At 47.0% G+C, this 13,286-nt stretch overlaps 2 annotated features.

The window, feature by feature from the left end:
- Positions 7,582 to 8,280: an enhancer, noted in NCBI's record as "OCT4-NANOG-H3K4me1 hESC enhancer chr10:117735118-117735816 (GRCh37/hg19 assembly coordinates)". NCBI's record gives its function as "activates a minimal SCP1, AML or CMV promoter by ChIP-STARR-seq in naive H9 embryonic stem cells {active_cell/tissue: H9 hESC(naive)}" and the evidence as "EXISTENCE:reporter gene assay evidence [ECO:0000049][PMID:30033119]".
- Positions 8,281 to 8,979: an enhancer, noted in NCBI's record as "OCT4-NANOG-H3K4me1 hESC enhancer chr10:117734419-117735117 (GRCh37/hg19 assembly coordinates)". NCBI's record gives its function as "activates a minimal SCP1, AML or CMV promoter by ChIP-STARR-seq in naive H9 embryonic stem cells {active_cell/tissue: H9 hESC(naive)}" and the evidence as "EXISTENCE:reporter gene assay evidence [ECO:0000049][PMID:30033119]".

The raw sequence follows: 13,286 nt of genomic DNA, 5'->3' as shown, positions 1-13,286 counted from the left end.
GCTGTTATTTTTCTAGTTTCTTAAGGTGGAAACTGAGCTCATTTATTTTAGACTTTTCTCTTTTTTTATGTATTTCATGCTACAAATGTCCCTCTCAATAATGCTTTAGTTGCATTCCACAGATTTTGTTTGCATTTTTATTCTGTTCAAAGTATTTTCTAGCTTCTATTTGATTTCTTCTTTGATCTGTATGATATTTAGAGGTGTATTAGTTTCCAAATATTTGGGAATTTTCCAAATTTCTTTTTATAATCAATTTCTAATTTAATTCCATTGTGATCAGAGAAATACTTTGTGTGGCTTGAATCATTTTGTATTTATTGAGACTTGTTTTGTAACCCAGAATGTAATCTATCTTGGTAAATGTTCCATGCATATTTGAAAATAATTTGTATATTCCTATTTTAGGCTCAACTGTCCTATAAATGTCAACTGGGTCAAGTTGGATGATATTGTTGTCTTTTATATCTTCATTAATTTTCTGGATTTTTTCCTTCTTCTAACAATTATTGAGAGAGGGTTGATGAAATCTCTGCCAATAACTGTGGATGTGTCTATTTCTCTTTGCAGTTCTTTGGAGTAGGGGGAGTATGGAGGTCAGGAGGCTGAGCACTACCCCTGGCCAAGAGCTAAGAACAAAGCATCACAGTTGAACATAGCAGAGAAGGGAAGCAGTTTGAGAAAAAAAATGGGAATCCAAAGTACAAGAAGGGGCCCTGTTACAGTGGCCAGGATAGAGGGAATGTCTCTTCCAGAAGGAAAGATGCTCAGATGGGCTGACCTCTTCGCTAACTTTCTCTAATACAGAGGTTCTCAGACTAAGGTGGGAATCAGAATCACTTGAGGGCTTGCTCAAACCAACTGCTGGGCCCTACCCTTAGAGCTTCTGGTTCGCTGAATTTGATTTGCTTGTGATGCTGGTCTGGGAATTGCCCTTTGAGAAGCACTGCTCTCAAGCAGCAGGCTCTGCCTTCACTTTGAGTCTTACACCTGCTCCCCTCTATCTTGAACCCTCCTCTACCCCCACAGCCACCCAGCCCTGGTTAGTATTTCATCAACTTATTCAATTCTTCATAACCAGGTTAGTTGCCTCCTCCTAGGTGCTCCTAAAGCCCCTATACATCTCCTTGTCACATTCTGCAGTGATGGCTATCTGCCATTTGTCCTCTCCCCGAGGCTGTCAGATCCCTGGAACAAAGGTTCTGTCTTGCTTGTTCACCATCATACTCTCAGAGCGGAGCACATGCTCAAATATTCACTGCACAAATGATGTGTAATTCCCCAAGGTTTGAGTGGTCACACTAAGCCTTACCTGAGCTTTCCATAAATTCTGTGAGCCAGATAGGAACTATAATGTTGGCACTATAAGATATCTGGGAATGGGACCAGAGTCTGTGGAGACCTTTCTTTCCTTCTTGGGTGTTAGATTTGGGCAAGAAATACATAGAACCAGAGTGGAGGTTTGCAATAATTTCAAATGTGCCTTCTTTTTGCAATTTCTTCTTGGAACACACATCACAAGTCACAGGGTGCTGTGGCTCACTCTCAGAGGAGCTGTTTCTGTCATTTCTTAGCCCTTCAGGGCAGCATCTGCTTTGTGTCGGCGGCAGCAGCCAGGTCTGAAGATGAATGATCCGGGTTCTGCCTTGATGGATAGCTGCCCCCAACAAATTGGCATATGATCTGCAGAGATCTTCTTTAGAAAATGTGACAAATGGTGACAGATGAGGAAGGTGAGCTGTACTTCTGTTGCCAGATACACCAGCTCTGAAAAACGTCCCGTAGTGGATGAAAAATCGCCCACCAAAGATTTAAAGGCAGGGAAAAAAAACACCTAGTTCAAGTCGTGAAACTAGGAACACTATGAATTTGAATAATTTTGCACTTCTCAGAGATGCTTTCACTCAATTTTTAAAATTACCCAGTGAGATAGTCTGGAGAGGGAGTAGCATTCCCATTATTCTCATGCACAAATTGAGGCTGGAAGAGGTTCAATGTCAACCCCAAGGTCACAGGGAGCAGAGCCAGGGCCATAGACCCTCCTTTGAGATCCCCCATCCAGGGCTCATCTTAAACACTAACAAGGCAGTGAGGTGAGGACAATTCTTTCATTTATTTTGCTACAAAGTAATAAAGGAAAGGCTGACTGGTAAGAAATGTTTGTGTACACATGCTTTATTCTTGAGGCTGATTTATGGGAGAAAAACATCATGGGAAAGCATATGGTTACAGCTGAGAATGAAAGAGAATCACATTTTTTGTGATTTCAGGTACTCGGGCATGCCACATTGCCCAGCAAGCCTGAGGTGCATGGTGGGCGGGTGGTCTCTGCTGAGTGCTTTTGATGCAGCTTTATTCCCACTGTAAAGGGGCCTTGTGGAAGCCGCTCATCCACTCTCAGACTGAATTGCAGCATGCGTCGCTTTAGGGGACAAAGCTGGGGACCATGTACCAGCCTCGGGCCAATTAAGCCTAAAACAAATTCTTAGGCTGCCAGAGCACAGATTACACTTGAAGTGCCGTGGACTCCAACCTACAGTGTAAAGCCTGGATGCGCCCCAGTAATTGGGTTGATGCACCAGCTCCGTCAAAGGCCTCCCTAATGACCAGTGGTGCTGGCTGTTTGTTTAGGAGCCTTTAAAAGTGAAAGTGCTAGAAAATGCAGTCAGGGAGCCCACAAGCCTGCCCCCCTTCACTTCCCCGGAAGCCATTTGCTGGATACACACTCTGGATTTTTCTATCGAATCTAGGGGCATGGGTAGAGGAGCAGAGATGAAAGGTCAGAGAAGCCAGAGTTATTAAAGCAAGGGCTGAGAAGGCTTCCAGTATGAACAGCAGCCTCAAATCAGGTGGGGAAAAAACCATGGATTTTTCATCAAGAAAATACAAGCTCAGCATTGAAGAGGAAACAATTATTCATAAAGTCCACACGTTGTAAATGCACGACCCCTCGTCCCATTGGGGAGACATTCTAAATGGCTAATAGCTTCAGGATGATTAATTTGGGCTAGATTAACTTTGTGTTATAAATGGATCAAATCCACACAGTTTAGAGGTTACAAAATTGTCCCTTCCCTGCCGTGCATTTTCATACTCAGAAATAAGAAAATGAGACTTAAGAAGGAGACAACTTCATCTGCTGGATTCCACAGATGTTTTCTGAGTGCCTGCTACATGCTGACGAGGAATATGTCTACCCCCAGGAAGATACAATCTCCTAGGGGTTTGCCCCTTGGGCAGGAGATATACAGTGACCAAGTGTCTGGGTCAGAGGGATCCTAACAGTCATCACTGTCTAGACTAAGGGTTGCACACCAAAACACACAGACTGGCTGGGTGTGGTGGTTCATGCCTGTAATCCCAGCACTTTGGGAGGCTGAGGCAGGTGGATCACTTGAGCCCAGGAGTTTGAGACCAGCTTGGCCAACATGGCGAAACCCCATCTCTACTAAAAATACAAAACCTACCTGGGTGTGGTGGTGCACACCTGTAATCCCAACTACTCGGGAGGCTGAGGCAGGAGAATAACTTGAACCCAGGAGGAGGAGGTTGCCGTGAGCCGAGATCATGCCTCTGTACTCCAGCCTGGGTGACAGAGTGAGACTCTGTCTCAAAATACTACTACTAATAATAACAATAATAATAATAATAATAATACACAGGCTGCCTCTCCCTCTGATCCAACCACATTGGATCCAACCAAATTGGTCTGAGGCTGGTACCAGACACGTGTGTTGTTAAAAAGCTCCCCAGGTGAATTGGCTGGAAGCCAGTCTAGTCTAATTCTCCCACTGTCCTGATGAAACTGAGGCCCAGATTAGGGAAGGACCATGCCTGGAGTGAACCGCAGCCCTGCTGGGATGAGGAATCCACAGCTCCCAGCATCCCCAGCAATGCTCTTTCTCCTGTACCTTCTGGCCACTCACTGGTCATCAGGAAGATTATGATGTCCATGGAGGTGTGCCCTGGCCATGGATAACAATCATTCCAACTGGGCAGATCTGGGAATGTTTCTTGGCAGAGGTGGGATCTGAGCTGAGCCTTGTCACATGGGCAGTGATAATAACAAGTTGTTATCACTAACAACACCTGCCTGACCAGCCCCCAGCCTCTGTCGGAATTCCCCTCCCCCACATCCCTGCCAACACCTCTGCTGACAGGTGGCTCTCTCCCTCCCTCTTCCTCTGATTAGACAGAGATAATCTTCTTAATAGAAAAACACCTTCTGGAAATCAAGAAGGAAACCAAAAACAACCACTCAACTAGAAAATGGACAAAATACATGAACACCCAAATCACAGAGAAAGAAATGCTAATGACTTGTGCACCTGTACACTTATGAATAAGAGAAAGATTGACATCATGCTGGGGAAACCTCTTCTTACTTAATAGGCCAGGAAAAATCCCAGACCCTGAAAGCAGTTGGGGAACCTGTAGCAAAAGAGACATTTGAGGGCATTTTTTTTTTTTTTTTTTTTTTTTTTAGACAGGGTTTGCTCTGTTGCTCAGGCTGGAGTGCATTGGTGCAATCATAACTCACTGCAGCCTCAAAATCTTGGCTTCAAGTGATCCTCCTGCCTTAACCTCCCCAGTAGCTGTGATTACCGGTATGCACCACACTTAGCTAATGTTTTCATTTTTTGTAGAGACAGGGTCTCACTATGGTGCCGAGGCTGGTCTTGAACTTTTGGCTTCAAGCAATCCTCTCACCTCAGCCTCCCAAAGTGCCGCGATTACAGGCATGAGCCACCATGCCCATCCTGAGTGCATTTTTTATGAGAGTACAAAATGGCATAACCCATGTGCAGTCAATCTGACAACATCTATTATAATCACAATATTGTTTTAACTTGTGATTCAGCCAGCAACCCCACTTTTGGGTCCGAATCTTTCTAATCTCCACCCGCTCCAAACATATACAAAATCACACAGATACAGTCAAGGCAATGGGTCCATGGCAAGTCAAGGGTGGGCAATGAAGCATTATTTGTAGTCATAAAAGACTGGAAATAGCTAAAGAATTCGTCTATAGAGAATAATGGAATCACGGCACATCTGCCCAGTGCATCTACCACATTGCTAAGGAAGAATCAAGAATCTCACATGGAGAGATCTCCAGATATATTTTAAGAAATTAAAGAAAAAAATGTGTAGAACAGTGCATAATGCATGCTACATTTTGCATTAAAAGGGGGAAAATAATACATATTTGTATTTGTGTATGTTTGCATGAGGTAGCACTGTGAGAATTCTCAATAAATTAATAAAAGTCAATGTGGGTGTAGTAGACCCCGTGTGACAGACAAAACAGGTGTGAGCACAATTTGTCTGTGTATCCTTCCTTATGTCCTCTTTGATTTTTTGAACCCTGTGAATATATCACTTTCTCCAAAAAATTAAATGTAATGTTAACAAGTTCTTCCTCACATTCAGTCCAAATGTACACCTGTGCCCCCAACTTCTGGCCCTGCCCAGCTCTGGCGCTGAGCAGTGCACACATGACCCTTCAGAACCTGGGGTGGATGATAGGGTCCCTTTTCAAAGGCTACCTCACCCCCCCGACCAACTCAAACAAAGAGGGTCCCTTCCTTACCCACTATGTGTCCTCAGGTAATCGTTGGTGTTCGCATCCACTTGCCTTTATAATTCTAAGGCTGTTCCTTGACTTAGACCCTGTGAGCATCGTTAAAGAGCCACCCTAGGAGCTGATATTTACAGAGCCTTTGCTGTGTGTCAGGACCACTGTGAGCACTCACAGCATCACCTCATTTCATCTTTGCTGCAGTCCTGTGGAGTATTATGGATATACCCATTTCACAGAAGAGAAAACTGAGGCCTGGAGAGCTCAATCACTTGTCTGAAGACACACAGCCATCTCAGCCCCGAGGCAGGGCTCCTGAATGCTGTCTCTGCTGTCACAGTAACCTTCAACCCTCCTGCATCAAAATGAATGATAGTAAAAAATAAATAGCAGCCAGGACCTGCCAACAGTCACTATTCACCAAGCTCAGTGTTAAACACGTGTTCTTTCATGTCGTCCTTAGAACAAACCTGAGCAGTAGATGCAGTCTCCCTTATACACAAGTGGAAACTGAGGCCCAGAGAGGTTAAGAAATGTGCTGTGGTCACAAGCTAGTGAGAGCAGAAGCTGCCTGAACTCTCAGTCTCCTGGTGCCCCCTACATTCCCCCAATTTCAATGTGCTTCTGGTTTCTCTTTCTAGACTCCAGTTCATGATAGTTGATAGGATTCTGGGCCTTTCTCCAAGTGTCATCTGCCCCCGACCTGTGTCATGTCCCCACACCTAGTGAATTCTCAACACACAGGTGGGCAATCCAAGGTCTGTGTCCCTTCTTGCTACCTCTTAATCACCACTCTTTTACTGCCTCCCTGATGCTCATCTCCAGTGCTGGGAGTGAGACAGGCTGAAGAGAAGGAAGAAATCTCTTTTGGCTCCTTGCATTAGCTTGGATGTGGGGGAAGGACTGAGTTTAAAGGGTCACCTCTCCTCTGGGACCTTCATCTTCCCTGCATCTGTGTCACAGCGACAGGGAGTGGCCCCTCCCAAAGGAGACCCCAGGGCAGAATTGGGATCGATTGACTTTTGAGCTGGCCTGTTGCACCCACGGTTCTCCACGGTGGCATAAGGTTTTATTGTGGTTTTATTGCTTAGGACATTAAAGTGTTTATACACAGAGCCTGGCTGGGGCAGCCCTAGTGCAGGCCGGGCTCATTTCTTCTTTCTTTTTCCATTTACCGTCAATGTTCTAAATTGCGGAGGACCCATTAGGACTATTAGGACTGAAAATCAGAAGGGACATAATGCAAGTCTTTCCCAGGATCTGGGACTGTCAAAGCCAGAGCCACACAGCAGGCTCCAAGCCCATGAAAGCAGAAAAAATCTGGGGACACAGAGTCAGCTTTAAGAAACGAAATTCAAGAAAAAGCCAGAGTTAAGAGAAAACTGCATTTTTTAGGAGAATTCATGGGGAAAGAAAAAAAAAGTTGTCACAGGAGCATGTTTTTTTTTTTTTTATAATTCATAATTTGCGAAGTTTGTAGAGCTCAGTGTCTGATTCTCATCCAAGGGGAATTTCGAAATCAGGGGAAAATAATGCACCAAGGAAAAAGTGCTGGATCAGGGAAACGCGGCTGAGAAGCAGCAGAGCTGCTGGGAGGCTGCTGGTCATTACTGAGGCAGGAGATGGAAGGTGTCAGGGATCAGAATATCATTTGAACAGCTTGGGAAAATCTCAGAGGGAAAGAGGGTGTGTGATCCATTCATTGGCACACACCCCTGCCTTTCTCCATCTCTCCTGTGGCGTTGGGTGTGGGTGTAGCTCAGCAGCCCAGCTGTGCAAGGGGAGGGCTTCTTCCACTGTGAGGGGCAGCCCAAGGGCAAGATGCACACACTGAAGTCTGCAGTGAAGTCGCTGGTTCCACCCAAGTCAGGGGAGCTCATGTCCACAAGAGCCCTACCAGCCAGGGATCAGACGCCATCCTAGGTACACACTTAGGAAACCTGAGAGAGCCCAGAAGCTCTGTAAACCTCTGTTTCTTTATCTGTTAAGATTCCTTACAAGGAATCTCTGCTGGGCAGATGAAAAGAGGAAATGCGAAGGCCCTTGACCCAATACCTGTCCCTTCCAGGAATTCAATGTCCATCAGTTCATACATTCATTCCTTGTCAATAACTTAACCATCTTTATTTCACTCATAGAACCCTGCAGTGCATTCTACACACAAAGGTGCCAAATAAAAAAGTTCAATTGATAGAAAACTAATCAACTAGGAATAAACCAAACCATATACAAAACCCTCCCTCCCAAAACACACCCAAAATCTTAGGCAATAGATGAGGTTGCTTCAAACTTCGCCATTCTCCCTAATTCTTTTCTGACTTCAGCCTGTCTTTTTTGTGTATCTGAAATAAATATGTTGCTGAGCATAAAAAGAATAAGAAGTGCTTCTGTTTGTCGCGTGCTGCCCGAGCTATGGATCCCCAAGCCCTGTGAGTTGCCTGCCAGTTACTGATGGGGAAACAGGACGAGCAAAATGTGAAGATTCACTACCTCACCTGCCGTGAGGAAGTCAGCAGCCCAGATTCACAGCTGGTTTTGCAGCGGTCCCTCTGCCCCACAAATGCTCTGGCCTCCCTGAGCAAAGTCATCTTATAGGGATGGAGGAGTGTCAGGCTGGGGGTGGATTCTTTTCTCTTTCCCAGTAGCACCTACTTAACACATCCTTAACAATAGCACCTCACAGCTGGTTTCCAACACAGAGGGTGAAATTGATCACATTGCTGCATCTTCAAATCTCTGTTTGCAGATCATTAAATACTTAATCTGGGGTGAATTGGAGATGTTCTAAACAAATAAAGCAACAGTCAGACATTTTCGAAAAAATAAATCTGACTCCATAGTGACAACAAGATACCCTCACGCATGGAGAGGACATTGTATTCTGCTGTTTGTTTTTAATGTTTGATTTACTAGATAGAAAGCACAGCCCTTGTGGGTGTCTCCAGGGCTTTGGGGGGGGTCTCCCTGTAGCCCTAATCCCTGCCCCCCACCAACCTTCCCGAGATTCAACGCCCCCCTCCCCGCCAAGGCCAAGGCCGAGCCCCCAGCCTGCCTAGGTCTAGGGAAGCTGCTTTTGTGCTACCGCAGGCCCAGTGTCTGAAGGTTGGCTTCCAGAAGGGCCTTTGAAAGCCCTTGAGCTGAGATGCACTCAGAGTCGCTTGAGACTGCTTCCCAGTAAGGGTTTATAAAGCCCTTTTCCCAGAGAGAGGCACAGCCTGAGAAGTGTTTCCAAAATTGGTGCAATTTGGGACAGTGCAATGTTTAGTCTAACAGGCCCCGCTTCTCACGAGTCCGCTTCCAAAAGTAGGGAAGATTCTGGCTGCCTCTAAAAGGGCCTGCTGTAGGCTTTCTCTCCCCTGGGCTCCACATTCTTCCACAGTAGACAGGATCCTTAGAAAGAACTGGAAGGCCCTTACCCTACAGCCCCCATGGTGGCCCCAAGCCCTCTGATCTTCTCTCTACAGAGTGGAGGGAGGCCACTTAGACCAGGCAGGGAACCAGGGAACCAGGAGGCAGCGAGGGTCAGTTTGGAGAGGAAGCAGAGCTAAGCCCCCTCCTCCAGCAGAGATGGGGAGCCCAGGAACCTGCCAGAACCCCAGGCCTCCCACTGCCCATGCAGCTGCCTGACTTAACAAGAAATTAGTCAAGGGCAAGAACTGAGGGCTGGAGTCTCCTGCAGTCCATCAACAAGCACTTTTGGAGCACCCGCTAGCATGTCAGGGATCTTTCCAGACACCCTGTCCTGACGGAATAAGACTGAATACTTAAACTTGTAAGATAAATGAAGACCATTTAAATGAGAACAGTCAGAGGCATGCAGAGCTTGCTATATAGCAAGGGAGTCAGCCGCTGACACTAGTGTTTGGCAGAGGCTCCAAGGCAGGCAGGGGAGTGGGACGGCTTTACAGCAGAAAAGAGGAAGGCTTCAGGCATGCTTGGAGGCTATTGGTATGGGGAAGCTGGAGGTACCTAGAAAAGAGGCATCCTATGCAACTGATTAGGGGTGTATGTTGGGCTGTCTATGGTTGGTCCTGAGTTGAAGTTTGCACTCACAGACCAAGTCCTGCCCAACCTGGGTAGGTTGCTGCAGAGGCTGTGGGTCAGAGTGCTATTGTCATGTATAGTCTGGCCACTGTCCATTTGTATATTCGGTCTCTTAGGAATCAATGTCTAATGATGAGACCATGGATACGATGCTACTACACACTGGACAGAACGGCTAAACAAAATGAAACAAAAAGTGACAACATCAAGGGCTGATGAGCAGGTGGAGCAACTGCAGCTCACATCTACTGCTGGCGGGAATGTCAAATGGTATAACCACTCTGGAAAACAGATCATAAGAACCCAACTATCCCACTCCTAGATATCTACCCAAGAGAAATGAGGACGTATGTGTACACAAAAACTTGATCACAAGGGGTTATAGCAGCCTTATTCATATTCACACAAAACTAGAAACAACCCAAATATCCTCAATAGAGAATGGATATACAAACTGTGGTATATGTATGTAACAGAATACTATGCAGCAATCAAAAGGAATGAACTACTGATACCCAGCAATGTGAATCCTGAACGTATTATTATAACTTTTTAAAAGGAGATGGGAATCTTGCTGTGTTGCCCAGGCTGGCTCAAACTCCTGGGCTCAAGTGATACTCCCACCTCAGCCTCCTGAGTAGCTGGGATGACAGGCATGCACCACCACACCTGACTTCCCAAATGCATTATTCTAAGTGAAAGAAGGTAGACTCAAAATGCCACATACCATATAATTCCATTTATATGATATTATGGAAAAGGCAAAACTGTAAGGACAGAAAAGCAATCTGAAAAGAGAGTGGCTATTAACGAAGGGCTGGGAAGAGGCTGAGTCCAAAGGGGGGCAAGTGCATTTTGAGGGTGATGGAATTGTTCTCTGTCTTGATTGTGGTGGTGCTTATAGGGCCATGTATTTTTGTCAACACCCAGAGTAAATTTTATTGTACCTAGGTTATATAAAAATATGGAAAAAATATAATTATGGGAAGTTATAACTGCCCTGAAGAAAAAAATAATGCAGAGGCCGGGCTCGGTGGCTTATGCCTGTAATCCCAGCATTTTGGGAGGCCAAGGTGGGCAGATCGCTTGAGGTCAGGAGTTTGAGACCAGCCTGGCCAACATGGTAAAACCCCCGTCTCTACTAAAAATACAAAAATTAGCTGGGTGAGGTGGTGGTTGCCTGTAATCCAGCTACTCAGGAGGCTGAGACAGGAGAATCACTTGAACCTGGCAGATGGAGGTTGCAATGAGCTGACTGTCTCAGGAAAAAAAAAAAAAAGTGAAAACAATGCAGGGGAAAGAGGAGGAGAGAGATACAGTGGGTGCAGTTTAGGTCAGTTTCCAGAGAGGAACTGGGAAGTGACATTAGTTCAGAGACATTTGATTTGGGGAAGATGGGACTTCCTAGTGGAGACTGTTCTGGGCTGAGGCGCACAGGATAGAGGTGGGGACAGGTGCTGTAGGGAGGTGAATGAGAGACGGGACACCAGTGCTGCAGGCAGATCATGGGGCCTGAAACCCAGCACACGCTTTAGATTTGTAGGTGGCTGGGGAGCGCCAGAGGGTTTTATGCAAGAGAAGGACTTGATCTCACTGATACCTGCCAAGCCTGGCCCTGGCTGAAGTGTGGAGTGTGGAGCGTAGGGGCAAGCGGGGAGGCCAGCAGGTGCCCAAGGCCCGCGTACAGGCGGCGGGTGATGTTGGCCTCACTCAGCAGGTGACTGTGAAGGGCTGAGGTGCAATTCCATTTGGGGCACCTTGGGTGATACGGTGAGTATTTACTCTTTGATTCTCGGTGAGTTGTGAGAAAATACAAGAGAAGGGGGTCTGGGGTGAATTAAATAGTGAGGCAGGTGGGCCCAGCTGGGTGTCAGAAACAGTCAGAGAAGCGGCTGTGAGATATTAGATTTGTACAAAAGTAACTGGTTTTTGCCATTGAAAGTAAGGGCAAGTACCACAATTACCTTTGCACCAGCCCAGTGAAAGCCTCTGGATTCCCAGGCTCCTGGCTCCACAGCCCCATTCCCTTGAAAATCCTTAAGGAAGCTTGGAACCCCTCTGTCCCCAGGTCTCCACCTCTGCCTCTGCCTCCTCCCACGGCTCACCCACAGCCTGCGGTTCCTGTCCAGCCCTTAGCCATAGACCACCTCTGACTGCACTGCCAGCTTTCTGTCCCGTGGCTTCCACACCCCTAACACTGGAGCCTCTCCAAGGGCTTTGTCCAGCGTCCCGGCCTGGCCTCTGTTCTGGCTGTTCTGTCCCTCCGCTATTCCATGCCTTCCTTCCATTTCAAATGTCTGTCTCTCCTTTGGCCACTCTCAAACTGGTCTGGCTTCTTGCCTATCAGCTGCCTTGCATTTCCTTCTGCCTGTAAGGTGCTCCTTGGAGCCTCTCATTTAAGAGTTCGAAAGCCAAGCCAGTTGTCTTTTCTGGTGTCCCTCTCTGTGACGGGCGTCCACTCAACCCACACTAGACACCTCGCGCCTCCCCTGCACTCTTGCACCGAAAAGTTCCAGTGTCACCTCAACTGGCCTTCGGGCATCTCTGGTCTAGAGCCTGGCTCCTCCCTGCCATTCCCACTGTCATTGCCTGGACTCCGGCTGTGACCTCCTCTGCCCCCACTGGAGTCTCTCTGGCTCCTTATTTTCTTCTCCATCCCCCTCCTCCATGCTACTGGGACAACCTTTCCAAAGCTTACTCGCTATTAGGGCCTTCCTTATAAGCTCCAGCCATCCCCACCTACAGGACCAAAGCCTTGTTCTTTGGAAAGCACCCACTGCCACCCCAGACTCTTTCTGGCATGGGGTGATCTGGAATTTATCATCTAAACCAGGCCACTTCTGAGCACAGAGGGCACTATTAGAAGTCATGCTGTGACAATGGGCATGCATTGGGACATGTGGGCTCCTGGCTGTGGCCTCATCTGCAGCCTTGTCTCCCACGTCTAGCCCCATCATGATGCTCACAGGGTCATCTCATCAGACCAGTGAAAGCTCAGGCCAGCCTTGGTGCCCATGGGCCGTGTTTTTCCTTTTGTTTGAAGTGACATTCTTTCTCCCCAGCCAAATTCAACCTCACTTCTCACTCAGACCCAGCTCTCTCCCCACTTGTCTGGAAAAGTCTGGGAAAACTGTCAGAGTGCCCTCAAAATCCATCCTGCTCCCTCTGGCTCCACACTGGTGAGCGTTCCAGCCCTGAAGACCAACAGACAAAGCGGCAACCTTGAGCAATCCCCATAAGATTCATCTCAGTTTCCAAATCCATGAAATGGGTATAACTGCAGTACACGTGCCTTTCTCATCTAGGCTGCTGTGGGCACTGAATAAGGGGTACGAGGGAGTCACGGGGTGCTGTGCCTGATGGATGGGAGCATTTGGGTCCTCAATCTGATTGTTTTCTCACGGTGCTGTAGATAGCAGCTTCCCTCATTAAAAAGTAAGAAGTGGCCAGGCACAGTGGCTCATGCCTATAATCCCAGCACTTTGGGAGGCCCAGTTGAGCAGATCACTTGAGGTCAGAAGTTTGAGACCAGCCTGGCCAACGTGGCAAAACACCATCTTTACTAAAAATAAAATTAAAAGAAAGGCCGGGCGTGGTGGCTTACATCTGTAATCCCAGCACTTTGGGAGGCTGAGGCAGGGGGATCACAAGGTCAGGAGAT

This window comes from Homo sapiens, chromosome 10 (genome assembly GCF_000001405.40).
Source record: "Homo sapiens chromosome 10, GRCh38.p14 Primary Assembly".
Taxonomy (NCBI): Eukaryota; Metazoa; Chordata; class Mammalia; order Primates; family Hominidae; genus Homo; species Homo sapiens.
Note: the sequence above shows the minus strand (reverse complement) of the source record. Positions and strands in the feature narration are given on the sequence as shown.